Source organism: Homo sapiens, chromosome 10 (assembly GCF_000001405.40).
Source record: "Homo sapiens chromosome 10, GRCh38.p14 Primary Assembly".
NCBI classification, from domain to species: domain Eukaryota; kingdom Metazoa; phylum Chordata; class Mammalia; order Primates; family Hominidae; genus Homo; species Homo sapiens.
In genome coordinates this window covers 112,534,749-112,549,737 of record NC_000010.11, presented here as the reverse complement: position 1 = coordinate 112,549,737, position 14,989 = coordinate 112,534,749, and the positions used below count along the sequence as shown (strand labels likewise).

The following is a 14,989-nucleotide window of genomic DNA, read 5'->3' as shown; positions in this document are numbered from 1 at the left end:
GTAATTCTTCTCAGCATTAAAAAAATACCTATTCAAGCAGAGATATCCTTCCACTGTCCAAAATAATGAATAGAAAAACTTTTTCTAGAGAAAGAACTTTCTCTGTCAAAAAGTTTAATATTTCTATAGACAATTTTTTCTCTAAAATATTTATGGTTGGAAAAAAGATAGTTAATATCAACCCAACTGTAGAATCCTATCTTCTGTCCCTATATGGGAGAATAACATAAAGTGTTAATTTGTTATTTTCGCAACAATTTGGACACCATAGTGCCTTTCTAAATTCCAACCTGTACTTAAACAAAATTACTTCAGCTAATAATCTGAATCAGTGTTTATGGACACATAACATTCTCTACTCAGATAACCCAGACCAGGACTGTGTTATCTTACTGGCCCTAGCTCTGCACCTCTGCAGCACCTGACACTCAGTAGGGCTCAACGAAACCTGTTGAATAAGTGAAATATAACATTTACTTTCTTCCATATAATCTTATACCACTTTCACCAATAGGACAGAATCAGAAATTTATTCTTCTACCTTAATTGATAACAGCTCTGAGGGAAAGGAACACGTAGTGAATACTTTTTGGGTCTATTTTCTCAGGAGTCTTAAAAATGACTCATCAGTAAATGGGAGGCGGGGTGGTAGGGGGCGGCAGATGTAAGCGCTGGTATCTGCTGCAGGAGATGTTACATTGTACCTGGCACAGTGAACACTCAAAATATTTCTTGAAGAGAAGGCAGGAGGGCAGGGAAGGAGAAGAAGAGAAGAAAGAAAGATATAATTATGAGGAGGAGGTAGAAGTAGAAGAAAATGTCAGTGGATGTGAAGAAACTTCTAAAATGATTTTTTAAAAAGTGATTGATCACCGTTCCGGTAAAAAGCTGGAAGATGGCCCTAAATTCTTAAAGTCTGGTGATGCTGCCATTGTTGGTATGGTTCCTGGCAAGCCCATGTGTGTCGAGAGCTTCTCAGACTATCCATCTCTGGGTCCCTTCGTGATATGAGATAGACAGTTGCTGTGGGTGTCATCAAAGCAGTGGACAAGAAGGCTGCTGGAGCTGGCAAAGTCACCAAGTCTTCCCAGAAAGCTCAGAAGGCTAAATGAATATTATCTTATTCATTATTCAATGAATAATACCTGCCACCCTGGTCTTAATCAGTGGTGGAAGAATGGTCTCAGAACTGTTTGTTTCAATTGGCCATTTAAGTTTAGTAGTAAAAGACTGGTTAATGAATCATAACAATGCATCGTAAAACCTTCAGAAGGAAAGGAGAATGTTGTGGACCACTTTGGTTTTCTTTTTTGCGTGTGGCAGTTTTAAGTTATTAGTTTTAAAAATCAGTACTTTTTAATGGAAACAACTTGACCAAAAATCTGTCACAGAATTTTGAGACCCATTAAAAAAATTTAATGAGAAAAAAAAAGTGACTGGCTTTGAATTTGATAAAAACTGCCTCAACAGATATTTCTACTCAAATTTCTGAATGAATTCTATACTGAGTTGATTAAAATAATAAGGTGAGTTGAAAGACAGTGTCAAGAACCAAAAGACAGAAGGCGATAAAGTTGCAGTACTGTGCTTTTATACCACAAAATCTCCATATAATGAGACGACTTAGGAAAACTCTATTAGTAGTTCAGTCAAGACTTGGAAACAAACAAATACATTAAAAAGGCACCTCAAAATTTAAATGCATTTGTTCAGCTTCTTTAAAAAGTTCTAAACATGAAGCACATTTTAGCTGATTTTTAAAAAGAGTAAGCTTGGGTAAGCATATTAAAAAAGAGAAAAAAGAAAAAAAGTAAGCTTATACTACTGTTGATTGATTGCTTTTCTTCAAAAATTCTTTAAAAAGAACTAGATAAAGAAAGAAACAAACAAACAAAAACAAACAAAGTGGTGTACACGAATTATCTAATTCTCATTAAAACGCTATAATCTAAAAATAATTTATTTTCTAAAAGAAAAAATACTCCATATCTTTCTCTGGCTAACTCTATTAGGTCAAATGAATTCAAATTTTGATCAAATAAGCATAAAGGGCATACATAAACTGAACATATCATGTAAAACAGGTCAGTGGAAGTATATTCCTATAATGGGGAATGACTGCAGCTTAAAATTATTATTATTATGATTATGATTATTATTGAGACAGAGTCTCCCTCTGTTGCCCAGGCTGGAGTGCAGTGGCACAATCTTGGCTCACTGCAACCTCTGCCTCCTGGGTTCAAGTGATTCTCCTGCCTCAGCCTCCCAAGCAGCTGGGATTACATGCATGTAACCACCACGCCCAACTAATTTTTGTATTTTTAATAGAGACGGGGTTTCACCATGTTGGTCAGGCTGGTCTCAAACTCCTGACCTCAAGTGATCCGCCCACCTCGGCCTCCCAAAGTGCTGGGATTACAGGCATGAGCCACCACGCCTGGACTATTATTTTTTGAGACAAGGGCTCACCCTGTTACTTGGGCTGGAGTACAATGGCACAATCACCGCTTGCTTACTGCAGCCTCGACCTCCTGGGCTCAAGTCATCCTCCCACCTCAGCCTCCCAAGTAGCTGGGACTACAGGCACATGCCATTATGAACAGCTAATTTTTGTATTTTTTGTGGACATGGGGTTTCACCATGTTGCCCAGGCTGGTATCCAACTCCTGGGTTCAAGTGATCTGCCTGCTTGGCCTCTTGAAGTGCTGGGATTATAAGCGTAAGCCACTGCTGCCAGCCTGCAGTTTAAAATTAGATAACAATAACATAGCATGGAAATACTGAAATTGAAGAGAAATCCGTATTTTTATTTTTTAAAAAGAGATAGCCTTCATAGAAAAGAAACAGGACTCCCAAGGAAACCCTCAAACAGAAATGGAAAGAATCCACTCTATCAATTCTACAACAAATAAGGTTTGGGTGGAAAATATTTTCTTTTATGCAAGGAACTTGAAAACACACGGCATTGGTATTATTCTTACTCAGAGAGTCTATTTTTGCATTTCCCTAATGAAACAAGATATGCAGGAAATTGTGATGAATATGCCTCTTTTTTTAAAAAAAAAGGATGTGAGTAGTGTTAAATATAGAGATAAAATGTGTTTTGACAAAAATAAAGGTGTATAATTAGTCCCTTTTTGGGTTACTGGATGCTTTACTAGCTATTCTAGCGGACAAGTAATGCCTACTCACATGTTCCTGAGGTAAGACAGATAATTATTACAGCTCCTGAAAAGACCATCCCAGTGCCACCAATAATTAAATTAACAGACATAGCCATATTAATTATTTCATAGGGAGTATACATTTGTAAAATTTAATTGATTAATTTTTTATAGAGAGGGCATCTCACTATGTTGCCAAGGCTGGTCTCTAATTCCTGACTTCAAGCAGTCTTCCCACCTCAGCTTCTCAAAGTGCTTTGGATTACAGGTGTGAGCCACCATGCCTGGCCAGGAGTATACATATTAACTATAGCTAGCTACCTGGCCAAATTTTTGTATATATATATGTGTGTGTGTGTGTGTGTGTGTATGCATATATATGTGTGTGCGTATGTGTGTGTGTGTATATATATACACACATATATACGCACACACATATATATGCAAAATACACACACACGTGTATACACGTATATACACACATACGCGTATACACGTATATACACACACATACGCGTATACACGTATATACACACACATACGCGTATACACGTATATACACACACATACGCGTATACACGTATATACACACACATACGTGTATACACGTATATACACACACACATATACATGCAAAATACACAAACACATGCACACACACACACCCTGGTCAAATTTTTGCATATATACACATATATATGCAAAATACACACACACAGCCACAAACACACGCGCACGCGTGCGCACACACACACGAGATTCAATGAAATGACATTTATCCAGTTTGAATAAACACAGACTAAATACTAGCACTGGAAAGTAAGCATTTAACTCAACTTTAATGTGCATACAAATCATAGCTGATCTTGTTAAAATGCAAATTCTGATCCAGTAGATCCGACATGGGACCCAAGACCCTGCATTTTTAACAAGCTCCCAGGGGATGTCAACGTTGCTGGTTCTGGACCCCACTTTGGGTAGCAAGAAACTAACTCATTTCCTCTTTAGATTGATGCAAAATTGACCAAAATGACAACGTATGTTTAAACTCGGAACTTACCTGAAAATGATTAGACAGAAAAAAGAAATACCATAGTTTTGTGAGATAATTAACAAATATATTTATTATTTTATTGTGCCTTTCATGAACTCTAGGAAATAAGTATCATTATCATCATTCTTCATGTAAAATATTATCATAAACTTGGCTTTCAGCCCAGATTTATAATCACAAATGTCCATTACTGCCAGCCTGATGGGACTGGCCACTGTCCATTTGTCCCTACAAGGCACAAAGATTAATAAGTCTCCATTTGTTTTGGGGATAGCCTTACAAAAGAATCTTTGGAAACACACGCCAATTGTTAAAGAATTAATGATAAATTTCAAGCTCTTTGTTCCAAAATGCCTTTTAAGCCAGCTTATAATTTTTCCTGTATCTTCACGACCAAATTCCTCTGTTGGCAATTTCAGTTGGTAAAAGGACCAAATCTTGGATTACTATAATAAACTTCCTAACATGTCTTCTCATTTCCAACTCTGCTCTGCCACCACTCCAATCCCTGTTCTCCACACTTCAGATCAGGTCGCTTGCCTGATGAAAGTCCTCCATGACTGTCACACCCTACTCAGAATAAAATCCAGACCCCTTCCATGTCCCATGGCCCCACACAACTTGCCCCACTTGACTGCCCTAATCATGCCCCGTGCTCCCTGGCTCACTTCATCCCAGCTGTACTGGTTTTCTTTCTGTTGCCTGAACATCCTGAGCACATTCTCATTCCAGAGCCTTTGTGCTTGCTCTTCCCTCTTCTCAGAATCATCTGTCCCAGCTTACTGATGGCATCTTGGTACCATTCAAGGCTCAGTTTACAGGGTTCTTCCCTGGGAGATCCTTCCTGACTAGCCAATGTAAGGTAGCCTTTATCAGTTATCCTTTTTTTTTTTTCTGGAGGCGGGGGACAGGGTCTTGCTATGTTGTGCAGGCTGGTGCCGTTACTCTTGAATACCTCGCGTCGTTTACTGCTATCCAAAATGGTCTTGTCCATTATTAACTTAAGAAATGTCTGTCTCAGCCGGGCGTGGTGGATCACACCTGTAATCCCAGCACTTTGGGAGGCCAAGGTGGGTGGATAACTTAACATGGTGAAACCCTGTCTCTACTAAAAATACAAAAATTAGCTGGGCATGGTGGTGGATGCCTGTAATCCCAGCTACTCGGGAGGCTGAGGTAGGAGAATCACTTGAACCAGGAGGTGGACATTGCAGTGAGCCAAGATTGCATCATGGCACTCCAGCCTGGGCAACAAAGCAAGACTCCATCTCAAATGCCATCCCCATCAAGCTACCAATGACTTTGTTCACAGAATTGGAAAAAACTACTTTAAAGTTCATATGGAACCAAAAAAGAGCCCGCATTGCCAAGACAATCCTAAGCAAAAAGAACAAAGCACGAGGTGTCACACTACCTGACTTCAAACTATACTACAAGGCTACAGTAACCAAAACAGCATGGTACTGGTACCAAAACAGAGATATAGACCAATGGAACAGAACAGAGCCCTCAGAAATAATACCACACATCTACAATCAACTAATCTTTGAGAAACCTGACAAAAACAAGAAATGGGTAAAGGATTCCCTATTTAATAAATGGTGCTGGGAAAACTGGCTAGCCATATCTGGAAAGTTGAAACTGGATCCCTTCCTTACACCTTATACAAAAATTAATTCAAGATGGATTAAAGACTTAAATGTAGACCTAAATCCATAAAAACTCTAGAAGAAAACCTAGGCAATACCATTCAGGACATAGGCGTGGGCAAGAACTTCATTACTAAAACACCAAAAGCAATGGCAACAAAAGCCAAAATTGACAAACGGGATCTAATTAAGCTAAAGAGCTTCTGCACAGCAAAAGAAACTATCATCAGAGTGAACAGGCAACCTACAGAATGGGAGAAAATTTTTGCAATCTACCCATCTGACAAAGGGCTAATATCCAGAATCTACAAAGAACTTAAACAAATTTAGAAGAAAAAAATCAAACAACCCCATCAAAAAGTGGGCAAAGGATATGAACAGACACTTCTCAAAAGAAGACATTTATACAGCCAACAGACATATGAAAAAATGCTCATCATCACTGGCCATCAGAGAAATGCAAATCAAAACCACAATGAGATACCATCTCACACCAGTTAGAATGGCGATCATTAAAAAGTCAGGAAACAACAGGTGCTGGAGAGGATGTGGAGAAATAGGAACACTTTTACACTGTTGGTGGGACTGTAAACTAGTTCAACCATTGTGGAAGACAGTGTGGCGATTCCTCAAGGATCTAGAACTAGAAATACCATTTGACTCAGCGATCCCATTACTGGGTATATACCCAAAGGATTATAAACCATGCTACTATAAAGACACATGCACACGTATGTTCATTGCAGCACTATTCACAATAGCAAAGACTTGGAACGAACCCAAATGTTCATCAATGATAGACTGGATTAAGAAAATGTGGCAGATATACACCATGGAATACTATGCAGCCATAAAAAAGGAGGAGTTCATGTCCTTTGTAGGCACATGGATGAAGCTTGAAACCATCATTCTCAGCAAACTATCGCAAGGACACAAAACCAAACACTGCATGTTCTCACTCATAGGTGGGAATTGAACAATGAGAACACTTGGACACAGGGTGGGGAACATCACACACCGGGGCCTGTTGTGGGGTGGGGAGAGTGGGGAGGGATAGCATTAGGAGAATCCTAGGTTTGTAAGTGTGGACATAATTACTTAATCTCTCTCTAACTTGTTTTCTCATCTTTAAAATGAGGAAAGGATAATCACTACATAGGTTTGTGGTGAGGATTAAAGAGAGAATGAATATAAAGTATGGAAAACAGTGTGTGGCCCATATTAAATGTTCAATAAACATTGTGTTATTTCTACATATGTTCAGTCATCAGGACACGCAGGGCCCTGGGTGAAGGCTCGAGCACCTCTTCTTCGTGGCAGGAAGGCTCACAGAATGTTAGCTCCCTGTCGTGGAGAGATCAGTGGCCACCTGGGAAGTCAGGGCGAGGTGGCCTGCAGTGACTACTGAGAGAAGGGGTGACAACTTGTAAGGCTTGCTGGTGAGGGATGGGGGAGCAAGGTCATCAAGTGGTACAGATCGTGATTCAAGGATGTGAGGCTGCTGAGTGTAGACAAACTCTCACAGTTCCAGAGATGCACTGCCAGGTGCACGGGGGCCCATCTACAGTACCGGTGGGACAGTTGGGAGGGTCTTAAGCTACCTGTTTACGTATTAAAAGCAGAGAGTGAGCCTTGCATTTCTGCCCTTGTACAATTTCTCTTTCAGCCTGTTTCTTTGTTAATAATACAGCTCCCATTAGTTTTGTGCCTATTGTAATTCTGGGATATTTACTTCAGAGAAAAGAAGAATCATCATTTCAGAATAAAGGGCAGATGACCCAGAATTTTGAGTATTAAGTCCCTGACCTCAAACAAAATGGATATGTCCATAGCTAAAAGTCATATCTGACTATTAATAGTAACAACAACAAAAAAAAAGAGCTGCTTTTTATTCACAGATTCTAGGACAAGAACTTAAAAGCAATGCCACACTGGATCAAGCCAATGGTTCATGCAACCAGTGTAGTGTTCTGTCAATTAACTTGTAGCTTCATCAATATTCTCAAATAAGAAAGGATCCATCAAAGAAACCTGACTGGTATTAAACTCCGTGCATATCAGGGTGTGAACAGCACTTAGGAATAATCATGTGCCTTTTCTCAAACCAAGCACATTATGGACATGTGTCCCTCTGCTGAGTTCCAGAAGAGACAATGACTGCCTATATGACAAAATAAGATGTCAAAAATGATTCAAGAATTTTAGAAGATGGATTTCATTATTTATTAAGAAGACCCTATAATGTGCATTCTATTCTACTCTACTCCATTCTATTTTCTACATTAACTTTCTTTTATAGTATTTGCCAATTACATTCATCAAGTTAATGAATAGAAAAGTTTACAGATTTTTGTTGAAATCTTTGCCAATGATTCTCAAAGTTAACCACTTTTGCTGATGGTAGTTTATAAAAATGATGATTTTAACAGAGCTCTCTTTAGTTTCTAAGCCCTTAAATATATATGACCTTATTTTACTTCATAAAAACCTTAAGGGATACATAGAATCTGGTTGACAGTTTCCATTTTGCAAATATAAGAACACATGCAGAGAGGTTAAATGATTTCTCAAAGTCACACAGCTGATTAATGACATGGACAGATGATGTGGTTTTTCTCTCTCTCCAATTCAGTATATCAGGCTATAGTTCCTAATTTTGTGGTCAAGTAAAATTTGAAAAAAAATTTGAAGGGCCTAAAATAGGGATGCCAATTTTGTTATTCTTCTAAGTAAAGAAAAAAAAATAACTTCTACCTACTATTTCAATCACATTACAACTTTCCTTTACACCCCCAAATAGGAAAAACATCATCTTAGAAATAACTGTAGCCTTGTGAATTAATAAAATATGTTTTATGAGAAAGTCACTATGTTCTACTTCTCTTCTCATTTTGCAGTGCACTGGTGAAAACTGTTGTGGTCTAGAACTGGCTCTCAGACCAATACCTGGAAGCCATTTCCCTGTTTTGTGCTGTTTCAAAAGTTATACTAGTTCTTCCACCTCTCTTCCTCCTTGCATTCCATAGTCTTTAAAAAGAAGACATCAATAAGTGCTGAAAGTTTTTCCTTTCCAAAGATGCTGTTCTGATACTTTAACAAATGGTAAGTATCCTAAATTTACATCACAGTCAAAACACAGAGCTATGGATTGACAAGCCATGACTAGGCTGAGGACCAGTAGGGAAGCAGGAAATACGAAGCAATATGGTGCCCACCCCAGTGTATTCCTTCCACATTACTTCAGTAAGTAGCAAGAGCAGGAAAAATGCTTTGTCCCTGCCTTCTCATTTCCCACTCCACTTTCAAATTCATCCACAAAAGTAAATTAGCAATGATGACTCCCGTCCATGTACAGGCTGAGCCACATCTGTCTTTACTTCCACAAAGCCCATTCTTATCCATCCTCCCAGACTTGGTCTTGTATTCTGCAAGAAGTTCCCAAGCCTTATGTGACAAGTCAACATCTAATTTTATAACACTTCATACTCAATACCATAATATTTTACTAAAAAGTCCAAAGGGACTGAGGTAGGCTGACAGGACACTCTTAAGTTGACATTTCCATGTTGGTTATGTTGATAGTTTGATGTGGATGTTATGTTTTAGCACACACCAAAAATAATAACTATCAAATCCCATTCAAGCAAATAACCTTGATCAAAACACAGTCTTTTGGTATCTGCGATCTTCTTTCAGCTTTGGGAGGGAGCTATATGAATAGTTTAGTGAAAGAAAAAAAAGACACACAAGTATGTAGCCCAATCAACCAAAGCAAGCCTTGTGATCAGTGTCACGACGAGAAGACCCCCTGAGTCTGAACCAGCCCCATGTGGAAAGAGGCTGACCAATGGATGTTTTGTCAAGGAAGGTCCCTGTGATTATGGTCATATTCCATAGACACAGTGCTATGTTCCCCAAGGATTGTCAAAGTAACACATTTTGTTTTCTATTCCTTTACTATTTATAAATTTCAATCATAATAAAAGTTATCTTCTAGGAGATAAAGATAAATGCCTGTAGATCGTCAATGACCACACAATAATAATAATATTTATATTTGTATATGTGTTTTTTGGTATATAAAACATTTTTACATGTACCATTTTTTCTTAAGAATGTTTGGAGATAGGCAATATTATTTCCATGTTATTGAAGAAGAAACTGAGGCTCAGCGAGGTTACGTGATCTCCTCAAGGTCACACAAACAAGAGCTAGAACCCAAGCCTGGTCCTCTGACTTCATGTTCAAGGCTCTTTCCATTATTCACATTCTTCCCAAGAACAGTCACCTCTAAAGATGAGCTCCCAAACAAAAAGAACACACAAAAGCTGGCTTTTATTCCAATCCGGGCAGAAAGCCAATCTATCAATTACCTCAGGATGAAGGGCTGTCCATAACTATTAAATCTGGGAAGGTTTGTGGTTTTCTTTAGTTTTTTCACTATTAATATAATGCCAAAGTTGTTTGTATTCTTCCTGTTTGGTTGCCTAGAATTCATCACATTAACCAACCAATATAGGGCAGCCATGAACACAGGACAAGAAAAACACTGGCCATTCATAAAAGAAATTATTTGGAATCATTTTCATCATACCTGTTCTTACAAAATAAACATTTCTATGACTCTAAATCTTTAAAAATTGATAAAAACATTGTTGATTACATATTTTTGTGGTTTACACATTGGGCAAGAGCTATCCAAAATACACAAAATAGATTATTTACAATCTATGCTTGACAAAACAAAATAAAAAGCGTAGAGTAACAGTAAGAAACTGATGACTACTAAGGTGTTAATGGATATTTATTTACTCTGGAGACAAACAGTCATTGCATGAAACATTTATAACAAAAAAGCATGTTCATTTTAAGTAGACTGATTTTAGAAGTCATACTAAGATTATGTTTTCTGAAATTAATAACTGGTATTAATTCAAACCAAAAGTTTGAAGAGCATTAACTAATGCTAATAAGATTATCATGAACATTAGCCTTACTCCTTGCTATGACTTTTTCATAATTTTCGTATCTGATTATAGGCTCTATTCATGATTTTTTTTTTTAAACAGGATTATTAGGAATCATTTCCAACACCAGGACAAATATGCAAAGTAAAGTGGGTATTGTTATTTCTTTGTCCCTAGTTCACATGATTTAGATTGATTAAAATGTTAATTTTTACATATGTGAATAAAACGTAAAGGAGCAAACTGGAGATTGCGCCATGTGCTAGCAATCATTGCGGGTGGGTAAACTGACAACATGTAACTGCATATTAAGACAAATGTAGAATTTAGACAAAGTATTCCATCTCTTTTCAGATGTATACTTTTAAACCTCAGGAACTGTTTTCAGTAGATGTCATGCCTTTTAACTTGAAAAAAGATAAGCGCAAATAAGCTCCCAATTGTCTCCCCAATATGTAAACCACATCTCGGGCTGCTGTCTCTGCTACTCCTTTGAAGTTTCCCTGAAATGTCATGTGTTGTGAAGACTGCTGTGCATAAGCAAGACAATTTGCTCACTCTCAGAATTCTTACCGGTTTCCACTGCTATTTGGTATCCAGCCTCTAGTCTCCGAGATGACCTTTCCAGCCTCTCTGTGTTATCGAGCAGATGTGCCCTCTGAAAAAGAAAAAGGGGGAAAAAAAAATCAGACGGCCGTCTACAATGTTCTTTTTTTTGCCTTAAAAAAAAAATGCCTTCGTATGCCCTAACATGGGGTGGGGGGGTTCGCAACCCATTACAGTTAATTTTTAGCAAATTTTCCATTATAGGAACCACTACCATAGACAGATTTCCAGCAATCACGTATGGACCATCCACTTCGTGTTTTTAAAAGGAGACTCGTGTTGTATGTGGCCACAATGAATCTTACTTCAAAATACTGAGAAAAGTACGAAGACCATACCCAACTGGATCTTTGCTGTTTCAGCAGAGATGGATATATGAGATACTTGCATAGATCTACGTTCCCTATTTGTATTTATTTTTTATAAAATGCAATCATTTCAAAGATCCATTTGCTCCTTTGATTCTTGCAGATAGAAATTTTAAAACAGGAACTTTATTTGTAAGAAAATGATCCATAATTTTGGATGTGCAGCAAGATGCTATATAGAACAGCATATGCTACTAAGACAGAATACTAAACAGCACTTCTACTTTTCAGACAACTGGAGGCAACACTAAGAAACAAGAGACACATGTTTCTCCATTTACATAGATGTACAATATTGTGCATTTGTTCCTAAATATATGGCACTATGTAGATTGATGTTGATATTTTAACACACAGTGCTTTAGACTGTGAACTAAATTTACAGTAATTATATATACCTCTTTTATATTTATCTGATGGGGAAATTAGAGGATTTTCTTCAAATCCTCAGCTTCTAAACTTTCTTTCCTCCATTGAGATGGTTGTTGTTGATTTTTTTTGTAACCATAATGATCATACATTAGATCTATTCAGGTTGCCAAACAGATTTATAATCTAATCATGGCTATGAATGGATAAAAACTGATACAGATATATATATATATATATATATATATACCTAGATACTTAGAAATATATAAATGTATGTATCTGTGTGTGTGTGCGTGTGTGTGTACATGCATACATGTATCTGCATACGTTAATATCTTCCCTTCTCAAATCAGTTTTGGTATCTGGTCAAAAAGAAAGAAAAAACACAACCACAACTCCTACAACTTTGTGTTGTTGACAGATGTCATTTAAAATTGGAGAAATGCTTTCTAATAATAATAAAAAAGGAGGTGCCACACATATTATCTGAGTGGCTGTCGAGCGAAACGATCTACCTTGCTCTAATGAGCCCCCATGGATCTTGGAGATGCAAGCTGTATTGACATGCACACTTAAGCTAATACACCTAGACCAGTGCCTCCAAGCTCTAGCAGCCAGGGATGCTGACAGAATATCTCGCTTCCATCTTCAAAGAAAGGAAGTGATTAGTATGTTATCATTACCATTCACAACGTGATTTCCTTATTCCCTCCCGGCATAGGTGACACATCTGAGATGCGGCCAGACGTTGGAGGCAGCTAAAGCCACATCAAAGCTTTCCTTGAAATTTTTTTGGGGGGAAGGGTGGGGGGGTGAGAATCATTAAAACAATGCATTTAGAACAGAGAGATAGGACCTGATGTGAAGGTCAGGAAGCTGCAACAACAGTCTATCATAATTAATAGAGTCGTCCAATGTACAGCAGAGATATTAAGAGAAAAATTGTCCCCTCCCTCTGCAAAAAAAAAATATAAATATAAATAAATAAAACAGAGAGGAAAGCTTCTTGTATCATTAAAAAGCAAAATCACTGAAGGCTGTAATTAAGAAAAAGAAGAGAAAGGGGAGCTCTGTGTGTCTGGCATTGATGACTATTTTTAAATAAAATTAAACACTTTACTAAGGCTTGTCAAAAATAGCTTTCTTATTCCTAAGTTTCCCTATGTGCAGGTTCTGGGAGTAAGGATTGCTCTTCCCTTCCTTGAAAATTGTTTTCTACCTTAACAAAGGACTTAACTGCAAACTGGTGATTCTCTAAAAAGATATCAATCAGATCTGTGAAATCAAAAGTAAATCTGAATTTTAATCCAGAATAAGACAACAAATATCTTTGGTTCATTTTCATATTGGATGAAATCCCAAAATTAAAAGAAAACATTTAGTTATTAGAGATTTACAAAAAAACAAAGATCAATACTGGAAATGGACTTCCACTTTTATAATAATATTTAATGTAGGAAATAAAGCATTTAAATGTAAAATAACTAGGGGGATTTCATGGTTATAATAGCAAAATTTCTGAAAGACCTTTAAAAATATGTATATTACTGAATAATAGAAGTAACTCTTCTTCAGAACAGTTCAATTTTATCAGAGTAAATCTGCACACAAGAGGACTATCAGTTTATCAGCAGCTTTACAGCAGGATTTCACTTTCTATTTTGGAACCTCTTCACTTAAGTCAAACTAAAATCAAGTTCTTGAAACAGCTGCACTATTTACATTGTTCCCTTAGTTGTACATTGCCCTGGTCTCTGTAAATGAAAGGAAATACACTACAGTAGCAGCTGATGCTTTCAACTTGCCCCCACACTCCATCCCAAACTCATTCTCTCACCCTCTTCTCAGCCCTTTTCAAAGCAGGTAAGTGAAGCTGTGCAGGAGCTTCAGACAGAGCTCAACTTGTGTGAGGAGCTGCGCAATGTGGAGAGCTGGAGATGTAGGATTCAAACGGAGCTCGGCAGAGCCAACACCAGATCAGCTCCCTATGCACTACAACCCTGCCTCCAAGCATGCTCCCTTTCCAAAACTGAGCCCAGAAAGAGCAACACAAGGAAGAGAAGGGGCATATTTTTGTTTCCAAGCGAAACAAAACACATTTTGGAGCAGCTGAGTGCTTGTCTTCTTAGCACAGTTGCAAGTTAAGAAACATGGGGGTAACATTCTCTCTATGATTACTATTAGAATCCCAACTGAGAAATAATCACTCCTCAGCAAGCCATATACCAATGCAGCATCATCACTGTAATCTAGTCTATAAATATCAATGCTAGATCTATATCAAAGACTGTTAAAAGAATATTTCAGAGTATATTATTCTGTTAGTTGATTAATCTAATTTTTCCAATTATAATTCAATTACATGTTACAGTTTCAGAAACATGAATTCCAGAATCATAACTGATGAAACTGCTGCTACAGGCATAAGAAAAGAAATAAGCCATCAAACAAAAATAAAAAATATTTTAAAAGAAATGCAGACGTGATGCTTTAAGTTTTTGGAATTAAGACTTCTAATTTGACACAATTAGGCTTAACAAAAATAAATCTTCTGTCAAAAATGTTGATTGCAATAAGCCACAATTTAATACATAAACAATACTCATTGCTTAAATTCAGGGGCAAGGGCTTCACGTAGTTTCTTCGTATAGAGGTTTTCAAGTCAATTGTTAGTTCCATTAACATTTGAAAATTCAGATTCTTCACCTAAACATGAATATATGCAAATACAACAAGCACATACTCTATCTTGCAGAAAAATAATATTTATGTTATCCCTCACCTCAAGAATAATCTTATACATCAAAAC

General features: G+C 37.3%; 1 protein-coding gene across 8 annotated transcripts in view; it reads right to left on the bottom strand.

Annotated features, from left to right (window-relative positions):
• The window catches only part of VTI1A (vesicle transport through interaction with t-SNAREs 1A), a 408,381-nt gene that overhangs the window by 305,631 nt on the left and 87,761 nt on the right, over positions 1 to 14,989 (bottom strand). For all 8 annotated transcript variants that reach the window (NM_001365713.1, NM_001365711.1, NM_001365712.1 and 5 more), the window contains one exon: positions 11,408 to 11,492. In NM_001365713.1, the coding sequence (NP_001352642.1) occupies positions 11,408 to 11,492 (85 nt within the window). The remainder of the gene's footprint in view (positions 1 to 11,407; positions 11,493 to 14,989) is intronic.